Source organism: Homo sapiens, chromosome 1 (genome assembly GCF_000001405.40).
Source record: "Homo sapiens chromosome 1, GRCh38.p14 Primary Assembly".
NCBI classification, from domain to species: domain Eukaryota; kingdom Metazoa; phylum Chordata; class Mammalia; order Primates; family Hominidae; genus Homo; species Homo sapiens.
In genome coordinates, this window is record NC_000001.11 from 158284533 (window position 1) to 158306910 (window position 22378).

At 40.8% G+C, this 22378-nt stretch overlaps 2 protein-coding genes across 4 annotated transcripts in view, besides 1 other annotated feature; one reads left to right on the top strand and one right to left on the bottom strand.

Moving 5' to 3' along the window:
* Positions 1-872: 872 nt before the first annotated feature.
* The window catches only part of CD1B (CD1b molecule), a 46127-nt gene continuing 24621 nt past the window's right edge, over positions 873-22378 (bottom strand). Inside the window, exon 4 of one of the 2 annotated variants that reach the window (XM_017002785.3) lies at positions 873-3507. In XM_017002785.3, coding sequence (XP_016858274.1) covers positions 3395-3507 — 113 coding nt within the window. In that variant the 3' untranslated portion in view covers positions 873-3394. Of the gene's footprint in view, positions 3508-9973; positions 10507-22378 lie in introns of those variants that run through there. The other variant, XM_017002784.3, reaches the window with a different exon arrangement.
* Positions 2312-2441: an enhancer, noted in NCBI's record as "active region_1899". NCBI's record gives its function as "activates an Ori minimal core promoter by ATAC-STARR-seq in GM12878 lymphoblastoid cells {active_cell/tissue: GM12878}" and the evidence as "EXISTENCE:reporter gene assay evidence [ECO:0000049][PMID:35858748]".
* Positions 5391-10242, top strand: CD1C (CD1c molecule). 2 transcript variants are annotated; one of them, NM_001765.3, is made up of 6 exons: positions 5391-5593; positions 6602-6868; positions 7552-7833; positions 8064-8342; positions 8680-8770; positions 8923-10242. In NM_001765.3, exons 1-6 carry the CDS (start codon positions 5533-5535, stop codon positions 8942-8944), a joined length of 1002 nt encoding a protein of 333 aa, NP_001756.2. In that variant the 5' UTR covers positions 5391-5532; the 3' UTR covers positions 8945-10242. The 2 variants fall into 2 exon arrangements, with proteins under 2 accessions (NP_001756.2, XP_005245636.1); XM_005245579.6 differs by lacking the exon at positions 8680-8770.

The window sequence follows — 22378 nt, forward strand, 5'->3', positions numbered from 1 at the left end:
AAATTATATACTACTAGAAATAAGTTTTGTGTTTGCTTCTGAGTGATATAGTACTTCTACAAGCTTGGAACTATTTTGTATTGTTGATTTCTTGGATCAGACATTTTAAGACAAATAGAATACATTTAATCTCTAAACTCCTGTGAGAGCAAACCTGTGATTAAAACTTTTTGTAAGAAAAAAAAAAAAAGGAAATCTAGCCAGAGCTTAAGGCGACCACAAGATTCCTTCTTGTCTTTTGGTTCAGTTGGATTTTTTTTTTTCCTGACCAATTTTATTGAGGATACAGTAGAAGATTTCTTGCACTTTTATTTGGTGGTCTCAACATGATCTTATGACCTATGTGGATACTGTGGTCAAAGCCCTCAGGAACCCACTCTTGTCAATGTCTTGGGAAGCTCAAGTGTTAGCTTCTATTTCCCTATCTAGTTCTTAATTTCTTATTTGTTTTGTTTTTTGCAGACTTTCTTATCTTGTGAGTTCAATGCATACATGTATAAATAATTTTTAAAATTATAGCTTACCCAGTATATCTATGTGTTTTGTAGTTTGTTTGTTTCTTCTCTTTTTTTGAGATGGAGTCTCACTCTGTAACCCAGGCTGGAGTGCAGTGGTGCAATCTCGGCTCACTGCAACCCCCACCTCTTGGGTTCAAGCGATTCTCCTGCCTCAGTCTCCTGAGTAGCTGGGATTACAGTCACACACCATCACACCTGGCTAATTTTTGTATTTTTAGTAGAGATGGGGTTTCACCATGTTGGTAAGGCTAGTCTCGAACTCCTGACCTCATGATCCACCTGCCTCAGCCTCCCAAAGTGCTGGGATTACAGGCATGAGCCTCCATAAACACAGAAATCTAAGGACTAAGTGAAAAGCAATATTTTAGGCTTCAAAATTTAGCCAGGGTGGTGCTTAGAATGAATGGGTAGGGAGTTTAGGTAGAATTGGTGATAAGATAGAGAGGAGACCCAAGGGATTCAAACAAAGGATAAGTAGAAAGCAATATGAGATCATAGAAAAGTTAAACATTAAGACAAAGAAGCCCAGAAGAGACAGAAAATACTGTATAAACAGAAATGAACAGAAGCACAGGACAAGTCAAATAATATTAAAGTTGAAATGGAACTAGAAAATATCAAGTTCCTCCAATTTTGTCATTTTACAGTGGGGAATTAGTGCTTCTAGTAAGTGGTAAATCTAGGAGTTTTCATAGCTCTCAGACTGGGACCTTTTTGGCTGTTGCAGAGGGCAGAGGGTGGAGGATATACGCTAGCCACAGGAACTATGCTTGGAGGCCAGAAAGAAGGAGTGAATCACTTCAATAAGAGTTGAGGAGGAAATGAAAGGCCATGTAAGAGTCACGTGGCTGTGGGAGGCTTGTGGGGTTTCCGTAATGGGGAAGTAGGCAGAGGGCAAGGTTTCTGCTGGGAGGAAGGGATGACAGAGCTGTGTGGGGTGGGAACATGACACTGGAGTTCTGAGGAAATCTCTCTCTCTCTCGGGGTGCAAAAGTCACCCACTAGAGTGGTCTTAGGGAAGTGACAGGCAAGAAGAGCCCAGGCGAAGGCAAACACAACAACGTCTGTGGTCTGAGCAAAAGGACAAGAAAAGGGAAGTTGGGGAAGGACAGGAAGAGCACTGGGCTCCCTCGGGACAACCCAGCCCCTCTGTTCAGGCTGGGTTCTAATCATAGGGTGTCCTACCCACTTCAGATTATTCTCTTAGGATTTTGTGTGTTCAGAGAGCTTAATAACCACTTACTCCTCTCCCCATTGCATTTTATATCAATTTCAGATTCTTGCATCTATATTTATAAGTATTCACCAGTGTAAAGAGTCTGCCAGTTTCCCTTCTTACACTACCTCCACCCTTCCTTTTTAGGGATAGATGTACATAAACTCTTGTGTATAAAATTGTCATACTTAGGAGTCTGGGTTATTTTTCATGAAAGCAATTTGAATATTTTAGGCTGATAGACATTCTAAGGATCACGTTTTCCATGGCAGCTCTGGGGCAGAGCACTGCATGGACATGGAGGGATATGGACTGTGACACACCGGCAGGGACTGTGGCTGTGATCTCTGTCCCACAGGATGAAAGCAGGACTACATATCAGTCAGATCAGAGAGGAAAAACCAGGTGGAGGGAGAGAAATGACATGGTGACTGTGTGGAGCAAAGGAGAGGGAAGTTTTCGGAGAACACACATTTCTAGGTATCTATTTGAATGCGTATTGCCATGATGGGGGTGAGGGTGTTACTTACTCTTCTAGGCACCCTGAGGGGGAATTTCCCATAAATACTTTTTGTTTTTTTTTCCTCACCCCTTAATCTTTCCTCTGAAAACAGACTGATTTATCTCACTGATAAATTCAGGAGGGAAACTGGGCAAGTATATATCAGCACCTCCTACTGCCCTTTACCTCTCTGGGCAAGTTGCTCCCCAAAGGCTCAGTCTTGCTCTCCTCCTCCAGGCCCTGGCTCTCACAGGAACAGCTGCTCAGGTGGGGAACTTAGGGTTTTATCAGCATTGCCTGAAATAAGTGAGTGTATTAGTCTTCTTGGGCTGTGCTAACACAAGGCAATCAGCTGGGTGGCTTAAACAACAGGAAGTTATTCTCTCACAGCTCTAGAGGCTAGAAGTTCAAAGTCTCCATCTGGAAGACTCAGTTTCTAGTGAAGGTTCTCTTCCTGGTTTATACAGACAACTGCCTTCTCACTATGAGCTCATATGGCCTTTCCATGGTGGGTGCACACACACACACACACACAGAGACAGAGAGCGACAGGGAGAGACAGAGAGACAGAGAAGGAAAGTGGAAGGGCACTCCAGTGTCTCTTCTTATAAGGACACTAAGCCTATTGGATCAGGGTCTTACCGTTTAGACATGAGATTGACATTACTTCTTAGAGGCCCCATTTCCAAATATAATCACACTGAGAGTTAGGGATTCAACATGTGATTTTTTTTTTCTTTGGGAGGGTACACAAACTTTCAGTCCATAACAATGAGAAGGCCACTCCATTTAGGGTCCAGTATGAGCAAGATCACTTGGATTACACACTTAAAGCAAATTATCTAGTGGCACTATCAGAAGTCAAGATTGACCATTAGATCCATCTATCTCATGTTATTTTCAACTTGTTTGCTTCTGAATTCAAGAGGGCAAAAAGGATGATACTTACTGGGTTTTATAATATTATCCAATATAGCTAGGTTATGTTGCAGTTATAAATAAACTTTAGAACTTGGAGGCTTAACACAATGAAGTTTATTTCTCATGCAGTTAAACTGCATGTAGATCAGGCTGCTCTTCTCCATCTCATAGTCTTGCCATTTAGAAATTTGACTGCCAAGTTGGTACCACAGGGTAAGATGATCAGATGTGATATTTTCAGTGGTCAGGACTGGAGCTGGCTAATGCTTCCAACACCACACATTCCATTGCCCAGAACTCAGTCCATGACCTTAACCCAACTATTAGGAAATAGGACAGTTGCATCTTTCCTGTAGGAACATGGAAAAAAATGTGAATAAACACATAATGTGGTATCTACTATTGTTTTCTAAAACCACAAACCAAGTATTTGCCATTAACAGCACAAGATGAGCAAAGATAACACCTAGTGCTTATGAATGATTTGGGTAGGATTTGAACTGGGTATTGCTCTTAAAGATATTATAGTTCATAGAAATTGCCACATATCTGTGGCCATGATAGGAAGAGCTCATTGAGAATGACTTCTGGCCTCACTATTAACGTTGACAAACCTAAGAAATAGTGTATATATCAAAGTATCATGTTGTACACAGTAAATACATAGAATAAATATAAATTTAAAACAGAAACAATGTTACAAATGGGATTTTCCTTTTTAAGGCACGGTCTTGCTCTGTTACCCAGGCTGGAGTACAGTGACATGAACATGGCTCACTACAGCCCTGACTTTCAGGGCTCAAAAGATCTTCCTGCCTCTGCCTCCCATTTAGCTGGGACTACAGGCATGTGCCACCACATTTGGCCAACTTTTTAATTTTTTTATCGAGATGAGGTCTAACTTTGTTGCCCAGGCTGGTCTCAAACTCCTGGGCTCAAGTGATCTTCCCACCTTGGTCTCCCAAAGTGCTGGGATTACAGGCATGAGTCATTGTGCCTAGCACAAATTCATGCCCAGATTTTAAGTGACTGCTCCAATGCATTCAGTGAATAATTAATATGATTTAAGAAACACTATAATAATAAATGTATTTCCTGGATCTCAAAAAAACTGTGTTCATGTATTTACACATATTAACCAGCCAGGGTCACTGATAAGTCACTGAATACTTCATATAAACTACTTAAATCAAACATTGACAAATGCTGCCCTTTTTATACAATGTGTTTTGGTCAGATCACAAAACAACTTAAATTTGGATTTTTGTGGTCTCCCCATGTATGAGTCCTCTTGAAAAGCTGCATGTTCTGACTATCACAATCGTATACCATTCCACACTGTACAGAATTTTCAGTATTTAGTTGAGATGCATGCTGTTCTTCCAGGACTTCAAATTATGAACTTCCCAGGGGGTTAGTCAGTCAAAATGCTGCTCTAGAGAATATAGTTCTAAGTAGATTTGTATCTGGGATTCTATACATTGAAATTAAAATCACAATGCATTTTAATTTTTTGTTTAAACATCTGCAGTTTAAAACTCTTTGATAGAAGAGATTACATTGTTAACCTCTGTGTGTTTATATGCCTAGTAAGACACTGGTATCAACCATGTACTATGTAATTTTTTAGTGAATGACTATACAGATTAAATGCAGTAGAAGGGCTTCTTTATATTTGTTATGGTCCTATGCATTCTGAATGGCTGCAATTTAATCTCTAAGGATAATGTAGAGTGGACTGTAGTTTATATAATTGTGCAGGGAAATCTTGGAAGATGTAAAAAGCAACGTCTCCAATTTATAAAAGAATCAGTGAGAATGAGGAAATAAGAAAGATGGGTGAAAAGAGGTGAAATTGGAAAGAGAAAACTTTGAGGACATTCAAAAGGGGGAAAGAAAGAATGGAGTGATGAGAAGAGGGGACACTATGGAGAGTGGAGGCAAAGTTAAGTGGAGAAACTGGAAGAACTGTGATCTATTAAAACAAGCAGGAACTGAAAAAATGACATGGTTTCTCCTTTTTATCTTACAAATGACATGCAAAATCCAGAGGGACAAAATGACCTTTCTTTCAATGCCATACACCACTTTGTCTAAGGCAGTTGAGGAAGGGAAGTAGATATAATGGAGCTTAGTGGCAGAGCAGCTGGAATCCTGAGAGAAGAGAATAACTTTAGTTCAGAGCAGGTGGGGAAATGAGAGATTGAGTAGGAGGACCAAGGTTGAGGGAAGCAGATCTTCTTAGTTGCTGTCAGCGGCTGATGGGGAAGATTGTTGGTAGAAGGAAGTCAGAATATAGGTACAGAGGGATAAGTTTGCTAAGAACAGAGATCAGCAAACAGCTTTTCTGAGAGAAAGAAACATCTGCAAATGACATGCTGTTTCTGCAGTTTCTGCTGCTAGCTCTTCTTCTCCCAGGTGGTGACAATGCAGACGGTAAGAACATCGCTGTCAGCTGCAAGGTTACATGTATCTGGGTAGAGTGTGCTGGGCTTTCCCGAGATGGATCAATAGAGATGCCAGAATGCTTGCCATCTGAGCATACCTGTCTCCAGGTCCAGTTTACTCTTTTGGAGGATGGTGGCAGAGCATGGGCTCTGTGTAAGGAAAATGTTATAGCTAAAGTAGTCATTAATGTTTCTCTGTGGTAACTGGTTCAATTTCCATTTCCTCTCCATTTTCCGTTAAAACAATCAGGGCCCAGGAAAATGATGTGGTTTCTCCTTTTTATGTTACAAATGACACGCAAGGTCCAGAGGGATGAAGCAACCTTTCAATGCCACGCACCACTTTGTCTAAGGCAGTTGAGGAAGGGAAGTAGATAAGATGGAGCTTAGTGGGAGAGCAGCTAAAATCCTAAGGGAAGAGAGTAACTTTAGTTCAGAGCAGATGGGGAAATGAGAGATTGAGTAGGAGGCCTAAGGTTAAGGGAAGCAGATTGTCTTAGTTGCTGTCAGTGGCTGATGGGGAAGATTGTCTGTTGGTAGAAGGAAGTCAGAATATAGATGTAGAGGGATAAGTTTGCTAAGAACAGAGATCAGCAAATGGCTTTTCTGAGAGAAGGAAACAACTGCAAATGACATGCTGTTTCTGTAGTTTCCGCTGCTAGTTCTTCTCCTCCCCGGTGGTGACAATGCAGATAGTATGAACATCTCTGTCAGCTGCAAGGTTACATGTATCTGGGTTGAGCATGATGGGCTTTCCCAAGATGGATCAATGAAGAAGCCAGAATGGTTGCCATTTGAGCATACCTCTCTCCAGGTCCAGTTTACTCTTTTAGAGGATGGTGGCAGAGCATGGGGCTCTGTGTAAGGAAAATGGTATAGCTAAAGTAGTCATTAATGTTTCTCTGTGGTAACTGGTTCACCTTCCATTTTCTCTCCATTTTCCTTGCCTCTCTTTTTTTTTTTTTCCTTACACTACTTGCCCTTCTTCCACCAAAAGCATCCCAGGAACACGTCTCCTTCCATGTCATCCAGATCTTCTCATTTGTCAACCAATCCTGGGCACGAGGTCAGGGCTCAGGATGGCTGGACGAGTTGCAGACTCATGGCTGGGACAGTGAATCAGGCACAATAATTTTCCTGCATAACTGGTCCAAGGGCAACTTCAGCAATGAAGAGTTGTCAGACCTAGAGTTGTTATTTCGTTTCTACCTCTTTGGATTAACTCGGGAGATTCAAGACCATGCAAGTCAAGATTACTCGAAATGTAAGTTCAATCATCTAAATTATGGGAGTTCTTTAGAATGTTCTATTTCAGGGAAATATTCTCTACTAATTTTTGGGCCATTTCCCATTATCCCATCCCACCATAAAATTCTGCATAGATGAACCTTTTAAGGGATATTCCTGATGTTGACTCCCTCAAATTTCCTAGGCTCTTGCTATTTTTGGAATTTTTTTTCTTGTGCTTTGTTATCTTCCACCTGTGGTCTCCCTCTGTATCCTACAATCCAGAGATACACAGCTGTCCCACTCTGTGCTTGACTCCCTTAAAATAAAATCTATTCCCCCATTCAATTTCTTCAAAGATCTATGTCCACAGTTCAATGACCATTATGACCAATTTCATGCGTCATGGAATGCTATCCTCCTACCTCCCTCACAAAGGCTCCCCCTTCACCCTCTATCCTATATTATGTGGCTCACCTATCATTTTTCCACATCTTCCTTGGCCACTTTTTCTTGTTAATTCAAGGCATTTATCTCTTATTGTCCCCTTCCCTATCCCCAGCAATTTTTCTCTCTTGTTTCTGATCAAATATGTCTTTGGCTCACTCTCACATCCATGTAAAACTTTCTTGCTTCACTTCCTGATACAGCCCTAGGTTTTTATACTGTTGTTTTCACTTTTTTGTTTGAACTCTTTTTCTCATTCCTCCCTTCCTCCAGATCCCTTTGAAGTACAGGTGAAAGCGGGCTGTGAGCTGCATTCTGGAAAGAGCCCAGAAGGCTTCTTTCAGGTAGCTTTCAACGGATTAGATTTACTGAGTTTCCAGAATACAACATGGGTGCCATCTCCAGGCTGTGGAAGTTTGGCCCAAAGTGTCTGTCATCTACTCAATCATCAGTATGAAGGCGTCACAGAAACAGTGTATAATCTCATAAGAAGCACTTGCCCCCGATTTCTCTTGGGTCTCCTGGATGCAGGGAAGATGTATGTACACAGGCAAGGTCAGTAGTTTCAGCCCCTTCCTCTAAGATTTTTCTATTCAAGTACTGCCCCTTCTGTTCCCACCCTTCAAACTCAGGACAAGAAAGAGGACAAGAAGCAGGGGGGTTGCTGGGTAATAGTTTCTTAGAGGCAGGAAAAAGATAACTGTGCATATTCATGTGGATGTGTGTATGTGGATGTAAGTTGTGTGTAAGTTTCTTCATCAGAACACTTTTTCTGCTCTCTGCAGTGAGGCCAGAAGCCTGGCTGTCCAGTCGCCCCAGCCTTGGGTCTGGCCAGCTGTTGCTGGTTTGTCATGCCTCCGGCTTCTACCCAAAGCCTGTTTGGGTGACATGGATGCGGAATGAACAGGAGCAACTGGGCACTAAACATGGTGATATTCTTCCTAATGCTGATGGGACATGGTATCTTCAGGTGATCCTGGAGGTGGCATCTGAGGAGCCTGCTGGCCTGTCTTGTCGAGTGAGACACAGCAGTCTAGGAGGCCAGGACATCATCCTCTACTGGGGTAAGACTGGAGGTTGGAAGTGTAGGTAGGTGGTTCTTGAGCCTAGAGGTTAGGGGAGAGGAAATTTTGAGGATAGCAGACCTAGGTGAGGGATTGTAGGAAGAAATGTATAGGGTAATTTAAAGAATAGTGGAGTAAGACCTAAGGGATACATGGATACTAGAGATTTAAGGGGAAATGAGGAATCCTTCCTTGAGTAAGTTTTGGAATAGAGTGACTGAAATAGGATAACTGATGCAACTCATCCAATGCATATGTTAAGTAAGGAAATCAATAGATGGAATAGAATCAGCAGTGAGTTTAAAATGGCATCCATGTATCTTTCCAATATGTGCAGGACACCACTTTTCCATGAATTGGATTGCCTTGGTAGTGATAGTGCCCTTGGTGATTCTAATAGTCCTTGTGTTATGGTTTAAGAAGCACTGGTGAGTTTTTTGTATTTCCTCCTCTCCTCCCAGTTTCTTATTTCACATTCCATTTTTCACTCTCTTAGCTTTTCTCTATTGACTACTCCACCTTATCCTCAGTTACCACCTCCAACTTATTCAGGGTTTCTCCCATTCCTGTTCCTTCACAGCTCATATCAGGACATCCTGTGAGACTCTTCCCCCTGACTCCCCCATTGTGTTAAGAACCCAGCAACCCAGGAGCCTAGTACAATATAGTGATGCCATCCCGTCGACTCTCCATTTAAATTGTTTCTCTTTCTGCATAATAAACATTTGTTAATAAAAACCAAATTCTAATTTGGAATGTTTTTCTTGGAATCTCCACTTTTTATATAGCACTCAACCTTCAAAGCCCATTTCTGATGTCATTTCCTCCAACGATCTTCCTTGACCCATACTGAACCCAGAGAGCCCCTCAACTGTTATGTGCATGCAACACTTCCTACCCTGTGTTGCAGCTACTTGAGTCTTTCATTTCACATTTTTAAGCTTTTAGGAGGCAAGGATCATGATAAATGTGCCTTTCCTGCATATGATAGGCTCAGTGAAACACAAAACAAAACATCATATCTAAGTTGGATTAACTGTCATGTTGACAATTTTTCTCATTATATTCCTTCCCAATGTTGTTGTAGCATTGGAAATATTCATGCTTCTCTTTTTGTTTAAATGCTTCATACCTAGCAGATAAATTCCACTCTCCTTTAGCTCCCTCATTTTCTCCTTAAACATTTAAGGAAAAGTGCAGCCTTGTGCCTTGATACACTTATTTTCTAAACACAGAGAATTACAAATGCAAATAGACAGAGAGTGTGCAAGTTACATGTGATGATCAGTGGTGCAGATATGTCACAGAATACTTAAGAAAAGGAACAAGAGATTTGGTCCTCAGGGTTGGAGTGGGATCAAGGCAACCGTTGTGCTGTATATGGAAGACAAATTTCCTAAAGGACTGTGTTATCTGAGATAGCCTTGGCTAAACTTTAGTCCCTTTAGGTTTCATTCACTAATTCAACTAATATTTTTTGGGTACTGAGTTGAGACAGGCACATACAGCTTCTAAACTGGTGGTGGATAAAACAAATGAGATTGTGTCCACTCTCCTGAAGTTGCAATGTTTGCTTCCTCAATCTGTCCATGTTTCTTTTCTATTGTTTTCATGTTTTTATTTATTTCAAAAAATTTTAAATAGATTTTATTGATGTATAATTTATAGTAAAATTTGAATCTTTAAGTGTACAGTTCTATTTATTTTGATAATTATATAAGCCCATGTAAACAAAATCACAATCAAGATATTAAATGTCATAACCCCTCATACCTGTTTGTAGTCAAGCACACCAACAACCTGGCATTCTTGCAACTACTGATATACTTTATGTCACTTAAGCTTAAACTTGTATTTTCTATGATTTTATTAAGATGGAAATAAACATATCTACTTGGTATTGCCTTTTATTTTTCTTCAGTTTAGCATATGGTTGTAAGTAATCCATGCTGCTCAGTGTATTAGTAACCATTCCTTTTCATTGCTGAATAGAATTCCATGTATGAATATAACTTTTTTTGGAGGAGGAGGTGGCTTCCCAGATCTGGCAGGGCCTTTGTCTCCTTGTGCCCACTCACCCAGCTTGGGTCCTGCTTCCATTGCTCATTTCCTTGGCACCAGGAGGCCCTAGGTGACTCTCCTGCACCCTTAGTCACCCTGTGACCTGCAGATACAGAGAGATCAATAGAGAGGATTCTAGGACACCCAGGAAACTGGGAAATAAAGCCAAAAATATATAAAATTAAACTTATTTTTGGGAGAAGAGACAAGATGGCTGACTAGATGCAGCCAGGAAGAGCTTCTCCCACCAAGAGACAAGACCATCAAGAAGAGCAGTATACTCTGAGAAGATCATTGGAAAGAAGGCATTGAGAGTGGATGGAGGGAGAATGCAGACCCTGGGCTGAAGGGGGGAAGAAGCTGCGAACCCTACACAGGGTTGCCAAACACTAGGACTTATTCTTGGTCCTCAGTGGCTTCTAGGGAAGGGGTTGGTTAAATAGGCATGAAGTGGCCCACTCTATCCATGAACCTCTGGAATCCTAGCTGCAGGAGACCCCCACGACCCACACAGACATTTGAGTTGGCAGGGAAAGCTACTTGCAGAGTTGGCAGGGACAGGACTCCAGCTTCTATGGAACCCAGAGGGTTTGGTGTGAGAACAGCTACAGTGGAGCATGGTTAGGGATGTCCATTACCCGAGGATTGGCATGCTCCTCTAGGTGGCTTTGACCCCTTTGTTGACTATCAGACCTGGACAGAATAGGGCTACCATGATATTTGGATGGGGCTAGACTGATCTGAGCCCCCCACCCCATGTCTGCTGGCCTCTCCCAGGATCCCTGCCTGTCTGTACCTGCTTGCAGCACAGCCTCAGATGTTCAACTGAGGCAGTTCTCAGAGACCACTGCCATAGGTCTTTCACTGGCTGACCCCACCAAACCACCAAATAGCTTCTGTCACTGGCCTCACATCAGCATGCACCTGCCTTCAGCACCCACAACTGCTTTGCTGGCATACATACACAGACATCACTGCCTTGCTACCACTTCTGTGCACATATGCATGGAGACCTCACCACTGCTGCACTGTCCCCACTAGCCTACATGCGTGCATGTACCCTGCCACACTACCATCCCTGGTGTACATGTGCATGGACCTTCTACCCTGCTGCCCCACCACCACCAGCATGTGAGTGAGTGTGGACCCCACCATGCCACTGCCCCACTGCTGCCAGTACATGCATGTGAGAGCAGACCCCCACCGCCACTGCCCTTATGAAATGCTTTTCTGGGACCCCCCCACCCTGCCCACCATAGGAGTGTTGTTGCTAGTGGACTGGGAGCACCTTGGCCCCCTCCAGTGAAGCAGGTGCTCAGTCTCAAGGGGCCAAAGAACAAGGTTCTGGGCCTGGTCCCAGGCCCTCAGTCTTAGAGCATATAGCCCAGGAGTGCTGAGCTGAGCCATGGCCCCCTGAAATCATCAAGAAATAAAGCTAGCTCACTGACCCAAACCTATACCATAGTCAAAGCCTCAAGGGCATCAAAGAATATAAAAGCAAAAGGCCCCATCAAAAGGACAGCAACTTTAAACGTTTAAGGAACATCAGCCCACATAGATGAGAAAGAACCCGTGGAAGAACTCAGGCAGCTCTAAAAGTCAGAGTGTCTTCTTACTTCCAAATGAACACACTAGCTCCCCAACAATCTTTCCTAACCAGACTAAAATGGCTGAGATAATAGACATAGATTTTAGAATCTGGATGGCAATGAAAATCATGAGATTCAGGAGAAAGTTGAAATGGAATCCAAAGAATTTAAGGAATCCAGTAAAATAATACAATAACTGAAAGACAAAATAGCCATTTTAAGAAAGAACTAAGCTGATTTGACAGAGCTAAAAAATTCACTAAAGAATTTTATAATACAATTGGAAGTATTAAAGGCAGAATAGACCACACTGAGGGAAGAATCTCAGAGCTCAAAGACCAGTTCTTCTAATTAACTCAGTCACACAAAATAAAGAAAAAATAATACAGAAGGATGAACAAAATCTCTGAGAAATATGAGGTTATGTAAAGAGACCAAACCTGTACTCACTGATGTCCCTGAAAGAGAGAGAGAGAGAGTGTGCAAACAATTGAAAACATATATGAGGATATTGTCCATGACAATTTTCTCAACTTCACTATAGAGGTCAACATTCAAATTCAAGAAATTCAGAGAACTCCTGAGAGATACTACACTAGAAAACCATCCTCAAGATACACAATAATAAGATTATCCAAGGTCAATGTGAAAGAAAAAAATACTAAAGGCAACCAGAGAGGAGGAGCAGGTCACCTACAAAGGGACCCCAATCAAGCTAACAGCATACCTTTCAGCAGAAACCTTAGAAGCCAGAAGACATTGAGGGCCTATATTCAGCATTGTTAAAGAAAAGAAATTCTGACCCAAAATTTCATATCCAGCCCAAGTAAGATTTATATGTTAAAGAGAAATTCAGCAAAGCAAATGCTAAGGAAATTTATTACCACCAGACCTGCCTTATAAGAAGTCATTAAGGGAGTGCTAAACATGGAAATAAAAGACTCTTACCAGCCACCACATAAATGCACTTAAGTAAACAGACCAGTGACACTATAAAGGAACTACACAATTAAGTCTACATAACAACCAGCTAACAATAATGACAAAATCAACTTCTCACTTATCAATATTTACCTTGAAGGTAAATGAGCTAAACACCCCAAGACACAGAGTGGCAAGTTGAATAAAGAAACAAGACCCTGGCTCATGCCTGTAATCCTAACACTTTGAGGCTAAGGCAGGCCGATTGCTTGATCCTATGAGTTTGAGACCAACCTAGGCAACATGGAAAAACCCCATTTCTACAAAAAAACCAAGAAAATTAGCTAAGAATGGTGGCACATGCCTGTAGTCCCAGCTACTGAGGAGGCTGAGGTAGGAGGATCACCCAAGCCTGGGGAGGTGGAGGCTGCAGTAAGTTGTGATCATGCCACTGCACTTCGGCCTAAGTAACAGAGTGAGACCCTGTCTCACGTTAAAAAAGACAAAAAAAAAAAAAATAAACAAGACCCACCTGTAAGTTATCTTCAAGAGACCCATCTCACATGCAAGGACACCCATAGGCCAAAACTAAAGGATGGCAAAAAATCTGTCAAGCATACAGGAAAGAAAAAAGAGCAGGGGTTGCTATTTTTATTTCAGACAAAATAAACTTTAAACCAACAACTGTCAAAAAGGACATAGAAAAACATTATTTAATGATAGAGGGTTGAATTTAATAAGAAGACTTAGCTATCCTCAATATATATGCACCCAACACAGGAGCACACAGGTTCATAAAACAAGTACTTAGAGACCCACAAAGAAGCTTATGTTATCATACAATAATGGTGGTAGACTTCAACACCCAACTGACAGCATTAGATAGATCATCAAGAGAGAACACTGATAAAGGTATTTGGAACTTAAACTCGACACTTGACCAAATGGACCTAATAAACATTGACAGAACGCTCCACCCAAAACCAAAAGAATATACATTCTTCCCATGCCTCCAGCTTTGTTCCTTTTGCTTAGGATTGTCTTGGCAATGTGGGCTCTTTTTGATTTCATATGAAAGATCAGGTAGTTTTTCCAATTCTGTGAAGAAAGTCATTGGTAGCTTGATAGGGATGGCATTGAATTTATAAATTACTTTGGGCAGTATGGCCATTTTCACGATATTGATTCTTCCTATCGATGAGCATGGAATGTTCTTCCATTTGTTTGTGTCCTCTTTTATTTCATTGAGCAGTGGTTTGTAGTTCTCCTTGAAGAGGTCCTTCACATCCCTTGTAAGTTGGATTCCTAGGTATTTTATTCTCTTTGAAGCGATTGTGAATGGGAGTTCACTCATGATTTGGCTCTCTGTTTGTCTGTTATTGGTGTGTAGGAAAGCTTGCGATTTTTGCACGTTGATTTTGTATCCTGAGACTTTGCTGAAGTTGCTTATCAGTTTAAAGAGATTTTGGGCTGAGGTGATGGGGTTTTCTAAATATACAATCATGTCATCTGCAAACAGGGACAATTTGACTTCCTCTGTTCCTAATTAAATACCCTTTATTTCTTTCTCTTGCCTGATTGCCCTGGCCAGACTTCCAATACTATGTTGAATAGGAGTGGTGAGAGAGGGCATCCTTGTCTTGTGCCAGTTTTCAAAGGGAATGCTTCCAGTTTTGCCCATTCAGTATGATATTGGCTGTGGGTTTGTCATAAATAGGTCTTAGTATTTTGAGATATGTTCCATCAATATCTAGTGTATTGGGAGTTTTTTAGCATGAACAGCTGTTGAATTTTGTCAAAGGCCTTTTCTGCATCTATTGAGATAATGATGTGGTTTTTTTCTTTAGTTCTGTTTATGTGATGGATTACATTTATTGATTTGCATATGTTGAACCAGCCTTGCATCCCAGGGATGAAGCTGATTTGATCATGGTGGATAAGCTTTTTGATGTGCTGCTGGATTTTGTTTGCCAGTATTTTACTGAGGATTTTGCATCAGTGTTCATCGGGGACATTGGTCTAAAACTCTCAGCATCAGGATTATGCTGGCCTCAAAAAATGAGTAAGGGAGGATTCCCTCTTTTTCTATTGATTGGAATAGTTTCAGAAGGAATGGTACCAGCTCCTCTTTGTACCTTTAGTAGAATTTGTCTGTGAATCCATCTGGTCCTGGACTTTTTTTGGTTGGCAGGCTATTAATTATTGCCTCAATTTCAGAGCCTGTTATTGGTCTATTCAGAGATTCAACTTCTTCCTGGTTTACTCTTGGGAGGGTGTGTGTGTCGAGGAATTTATCCATTTCTTCTAGATTTTCTAGTTTATTTGCACAGAGATGTTTATATTATCCTCTGATGGTAGTTTGTATTTTTGTGGGATCAGTGGTGATATCCCCTTTATCATTTTTTATTGTGTCTATATGATTCTTCTCTCTTTTCTTCTTTATTAGTCTTGCTAGTGGTCTATCAATTTTGCTGATCTTTTCAAAAAGCCAGGTCCTGGATTCATTGATCTTTTGAAGATTTTTTTTGTGTCTTTATCTCATTCAGGTCTGCTCTGATCTTAGTTATTTCTTGTCTTCGGCTAGCTTTTGAATATGTTTGCTCTTGCTTCTCTAGTTCTTTTAATGTGATGTTAGGTGTCAATTTTAGATCTTTCCTGCTTTATCTTGTGGGCATTTAGTGCTATAAATTTCCCTCTACACACTGCTTTACATGTGTCCCAGAGATTCTGGTACATTGTGTCTTTGTTCTCATTGGTTTCCTAGAGCATCTTTATTTCTGCCTTCATTTTGTTATTTACCAAGTAGTCATTCAGGACTACAGTTTCCATGTAGTTGTGTGGTTTTGAGTGAGTTTCTTAATCCTGAGTTCTAATTTGATTGCACTGTGGTCCGAGAGACAGTTTGTTGTGATTTCTTTTCTTTTTACATTTGCTGAGGAGTGCTTTACTTCCAATTTTGTGGTCAATTTTAGAATAAGTATGATGTGGTGCTGAGAAGAATATATACTCTGTTGATTTGGGGTAGAGAGTACCGTAGATGTCTATTAGGTCTGCTTGGTGCAGAGCTGAGTTCAAGTCCTGGATATCCTTGTTAACCTTCTGTCTTGTTGATCTGCCTAATATTGACAATGGAATGTTAAAGTCTCCCATTATTATTGTGTGGGAGTATAAGTCTCTTCGTAGGTCTGTAAGGACTCATTATATGAATCTGGGTGCTCCTGTTTTGGGTGCATATATATTTAGGATAGTTAGCTCTTCTTTTTGAATTGATTCCTTTACCATTATGTAATGGCCTTCTTTGTCTCTCTCTCTCTCTTTTTTTTTTTTTTTTGAGACAGAGTCTCACTCTGTCACCCAGGCTGGAGTACAGTGGTGCGATCTCAGCTCACTGCAAGCTCTTCCTCCTGTGTTCATACCATTCTCCTGCTTGAGCCTCCTGAGTAGCTGGGACTACAGGTGCCCACCACCATGCCCAGCTAATTTTTTGTATTTTTAATATAGATGGGGTTTCACCATATTAGCCAGGATGGTCTCAATTGCCTGACTTCATGATCTGCCCACCTCAGCCTCCCAAATTGCTGGAATTACAGGTGTGAGCCACCGTGCCTTTGTCTCTTTTGATCTTTATTGGTTAAAGTCTGTTTTATCAGAGACTGGGATTGCAACCCCTGCTTTTTTTTTGCTTTCCATTTGCTTGGTAGAGTGTCCTCCATCCCTTTATTTTGAGCCTATGTGTGTCTCTGCACTTGAGATGGGTCTCCTGAATACAGCACACTGATGGGTCTTGACTCTTTATCCAATTTGTCAGTCTGTGTCTTTTAATTGTCATATTTAGCTCATTTATATTTAAGGTTAATATTAAGTGTGAATTTGATTCTGTCTTTATGATGTTAGCTGGTTATTTTGCTCATTAGTTTATGCAGTTTCTTCATAGCATCAATGGTCTTTACAATTTGGCATGTTTTTGGAGTGTCTGGTACTGGTTGTTTCTTTCCATGTTTAGTGCTTCCTTCAGGAGCTCTTGTAAGGCAGGTCTGGTGGTGACAAAATCTCTTAGCATTTGCTTGTCTGTAAAGGATTTTATTTCTCCTTCACTTATGATGCTTAGTTTGGGTGGATATGAAATTCTCGGTTGAAAATTCTTTTCTTTAAGAATGTTGAATATTGGCCCCCACTCTCTTCTGGCTGGTAGTGTTTCTGCAGAGAAATCAGCTGTTAGTCTCATGGGCTTCCCTTTGTGGAACCCGACTTTTCTTTCTGGCTGCCCTTAACGTTTTTCCTTCATTTCAACCTTCGTGAGTCTGATAATTATGTGTCTTGGGGTTGCTCTTCTCATGGAGTATCTTTGTGGTGTTCTCTGTATTTCCTGAATTTGAATGTTGGCCTGCCTTGCTAGGTTGGGGATGTTCTCCTGGATAACATCATGAGCAGTGTTTTCCAGCTTGGTTCCATTCTCCCTGTCACTTTCAGGTACACAAATCAAACATAGATTTTTTTCTTTTCACATAGTACCATATATGCAGAATACACCTGTCTTCTGCATCAATCAAGCTGGTAGTTGCAGACCGGAGCTCTTCCTATTCAGCCATCTTGGGGGAAGTCGCAATTTTCAACACATTCAAAAAAACCAAAATCATACCAACCACACTCTTGCACCACAGCACAACAAAAATAGAAATCAAGATCAAGAAGAGCTCTGAAAAACTATACAATTAAATAGCAATTAAACAATTTCTGGTCCTGAAAGACTTTTGGGTAAACAACGAAGTCAGAAATCAGGAAATTGTTCTAACAAATGAAAACAAAGATACTACATGCCAGAGTCTCTGAGACACAGCTAAAACAGAGTTAAGAGGAAAGTTTATAGCACTAAATGCCCACATCAAAAAGTTAGAAAGATCTCAAATTAGTAACATAATCTCACATCTAAAGGAACTAGAAAAATAAGGAAAAAAAACCTAAAGCTAGCAGAAGACAAGAAATAACCAAAATCAGAGCTGAACTAAATAAAACTGAGAACTGAAAACTATATAGAAGATAAACAAAAAAATTGGTAATTTGAAGGAATAAATAAAATTGGTAGACCACAGACTAGAATAATAAAGGAGAAAAAGATGAGAAAATCCACATAAACCCAATCAGAAATGACAAAGGGGGCATTGCCACCAACCTCATAGAAATACAAAAACCACTCAGATACTGTTATGAACACCTCTATGCACGTAAACTATGAAACCTAGAAGAAATGGAAAAATTCTTGAAAATATACATTCCCAAAATTGAACCAGGAAGAAATTGAAACCCTGAACAGATCAATAATGAGTTCCAGAGTTGAATCAGTAATAAAAAGGTTGCCAATCAGAAAAAGCCTTGGAACAGAGAGATCCATGGCTGAATTCTAACAGGTATATAAAGAAAAGCTGGTATCAATTCTTTGAAAACTATTCCAAAAATTGAGGGGGAGTGATTATTCCCTAACTAATTCTATGAGATAAGTATCATTGTGATACCAAAACCTGGTAGAGACACAATAAAAAAAGAAAACATTAGCTAATTTTCCTGAAGAATATATATGCAAAAATCCTCAACAAAATATTAGCAAAGCAAATCCAGGATCATATCAAAAAGCTAATCTGCTATTATCAAATGGGCTTCATCCCTGGGACTCAAGGTTGGTTCAACATACAGAAATCAGTAAATGATTCATCACATAAGCAGAACTAAAAACAAAAAACACATGATTATCTCAACAGATGCAGAACAGTCTTTTGATAAAATTCCACATCTCTTCAGGTTAAAAACCCTTAAGAAACTAGGCATTAAAGGAACACACCTCAAAACAATTAGAGGCATCTATGACAAACCCACAGCCAACAACGTACTGAATAAACAAAAGCTTGAAGCATTCCCTTTGAAAACTAGAACAAGGCAATGATGTCCACTCTTACCACTGCTATTCAACATAATACTGGAAGTCCTAGCCAGAGCAATCAGGGAAGAGAAAGGCATTCAAATAAAAAGAGAGGAAGTTAAATTATCTCTTTCTTCAGACAATATGAATCTATACCTAGAAAACCCCATAGTCTCTGTGCAAAGGGTTCTAAATCTGATAAACAATTTTAGTTAATCTTCAAGGTATAAAATCAATGTACAAGAATCAGTAGCTTCTCTATATATCAATAAAGTCCAGACCGAGAGCTAAATCAAGAACACAATCACATTCACTATAATCACAAAAAGAATAAAATGCTTAGGAATATAGCTAACCAAGAAAGTGAAAGATCTCTACAACAAGAATTATAAAGCACTGCTAAAAAATCAGAGATTATACAACTGAATGTAAAAATATTTCATGCTCATGGATTGAAAGAATTAATGTTGTTAAAATTATCATATTGCTGAAAGCAATTCAGAGACTCAGTGCTACTCCTATCAAAGTACCAATGACATTTTTTCATAGAATTTGAAAAAACTATTCTAAAATTCATACAGAATCAAAAAAGAGTCTGGGGGGTGCAACCAAGATGGCCGAATAGGAACAGCTCTAGTCTAGAGCTCCCAGCATGAGCGACACAGAAGACGGGTGATTTCTGCATTTCCAACTGAGGTACCCGGCTCATCTCACTGAGGAGTGTCAGAAAGTGGGTGCAGGACAGTGGGTGCAGTTCACCCAGCGAGAGCCAAAGCAGGATGAGGCATCGCCTCACCTGGGAAGCACAAGGGGTCAGGGAATTCCTTTTCCTAATCAAAGAAAGGGGTGACAGATAGCACCAGGAAAATCGGGTCATTCCCACCCTAATACTGTGCTTTTCCAATGGTCTTAGCAAAGGGCACACAAGGAGATTATATCCCATGCCAGGCCTGGAGGGTCCTATGCCCACGGAGCCTCACTCATTGCTAGCACAGCAGTCTGAGATCAAACTGCAAGGCAGCAGAGAGGCTGGGGGAGGGGCGCCCACCATTGCCTAGGCTTGAGTAGGTAAACAAAGGCCAGGAAGCTCGAATGGGGTGTAGCCCACCGCAGCTCAAGGAGGCCTGCCTGCCTCTGTAGACTCCATGTCTGGGGGCAGGGCACAGCCAAACCAAAGGCAGCAGAATCCTCTGCAGACTTAAATGTTCCTGTCTGACAGCTTGGAAGAGAGTAGTGGTTCTCCCAGCATGCAGCTGGAGATCTGAGAATGGACAGAGTGACTCCTCAAGTGGGTCACTGATGCCCAAGTAGCCTAACTGGGAGGCACCTCCCAGTAGGGGCAGACTGACACCTCACACGGCAGGGTACTCCTCTGAGACAAAACTTCCAGAGGAATAATCGGCAGCAACATTTGCTGTTCACCAATATCTGCTGTTCTGCAGCCTCTGCTGCTGATACCCAGGAAAACAGGGTCTGGAGTAGACCTCCAGCAAACTCCAACAGACCTGCTGCTGAGGGTCCTGACTGTTAGAAGGAAAACTAACAAACAGTAAGGACATCCACACCAAAACCCCATCTGTATGTCACCATCATCAAAGACCAAAGGTAGATAAAACCACAAAGATGGGGAAAAAACAGAGCAGAAAAACTGGAAACTCTAAAAATCAGAGTGCCTCTCCTCCTCCAAGGGAACGCAGCTCCTCACCAGCAGTGGAACAAAGCAGGATGGAGAATGACCTTGACGAGTTGAGAGAAGAAGGCATCAGACGATCAAACTACTCCGAGCTAAAAGAGGAAGTTCGAACTCATCGCAAAGAAGTTAAAAATCTTGAAAAAAAATTAGATGAATGGCTAACTAGAATAAGCAATGCAGAGAAGTCTTTAAAGGACCGGATGGAGCTGAAAACAAAGGCAAGAGAACTACATGATGAATAACAAGCCTCAGTAGCCGATGGGATCAAGTGGAAGAAAGGGTATCAGTGATGGAAGATCAAATGAATGAAACGAAGTGAGAAGTTTAGACGAAAAAGAATAAAAAGAAATTAACAAAGCCTCCAAGAAATATGGGACTATGTGAAAAGACCAAATCTATGTCTGATTGGTGTACCTGAAAGTGACAGGGAGAATGGAACCAAGTTGGAAAACACTCTGCAGGATATTATCCAGGAGAACTTCCCCAATCTAGCAAGGCAGGCCAACATTCAAACTCAGGAAATACAGAGAATGCCACAAAGATACTCCTCAAGAAGAGCAACTCCAAGACACATAATTGTCAGATTCACCAAAGTTGAAATGAAGGAAAAAATGTTAAGGGCAGCCAGAGAGAAAGGTGGGGTTACCCACAAAGGGAAGCCCATCAGACTAACAGCTGATCTCTCAGCAGAAACTCTACAAGCCAGAAGAGAGTGGGGGCCAATATTCAACATTCTTAAAGAAAAGAATTTTCAAACCAGAATTTCATATGTAGCCAAACTAAGCTTCATAAGTGAAGGAGAAATAAAATAGTTTACAGACAAGCAAATGCTGAGAGATTTTGTCATCACCAGGCCTGCCCTACAAGAGCTCCCGAAGGAAGCACTAAACATGAAAAGGAACAAGTGGTACCAGCCACTGCAAAAACATGCCAAATTGTAAAGACTGTCGAGGCTAGGAAGAAACTGCATCAACTAATGAGCAAAATAACCACCTAACATCATAATGACAGGATCAAATTCACACATAACAATATTAACTTTAAATGTAAATGGGCTAAATGCTCCAATTAAAAGACACATACTGGCAAATTGGATAGAGTCAAGACCCATCAGTGTGCTGTATTCAGGAAACCCATAGCAAGTGCAGAGACACACATAGGCTCAAAATAAAGGGATGGAGGAAGACCTAATAAGCAAATGGAAAACAAAAAAAGGCAGTGGTTGCAAACCTAGTCTCTGATAAAACAGACTTTAAACCAACAAAGATCAAAAGAGACAAAGAAAGCCATTACATAATGGTAAAGGGATCAATTCAGCAAGAAGAGCTAACTATCCTAAATATTTATCCACCCAATACAGGAGCACCCAGATTCATAAAGCAAGTGATTAGAGGCCTAGAAAGAGACTTAGACTCCCACACAATAATAATGGGAGATTTTAACACCCCACTGTCAACATTAGACAGGTCAACGAGACAGAAAGTTAACAAGGATATCCAGGAACTGAACTCAGCTCTGCACCAAGTGGACCTAATAGACATCTACAGAACTCTCCACCCCAAATCAACAGAATAGACATTCTTCTCAGCACCACACCGCACTTATTCCAAAATTGACCACATAGTTGGAAGTAAAGGTCTCCTTAGCAAATGTAAAAGAACAGAAATTATAACAAACTGTCTCTCAGACCACAGTGCAATGAAACTAGGATTCAGCATAAAGAAATTCACTCAAAGCCGCTCAACTACATGGAAACCGAGCAACCTGCTCCTGAATGACTACTGGGTACATAATGAAATGAAGGCAGAAATAAAGATGTTCTTTGAAACCAACGAGAACAAAGACACAACATACCAGAATC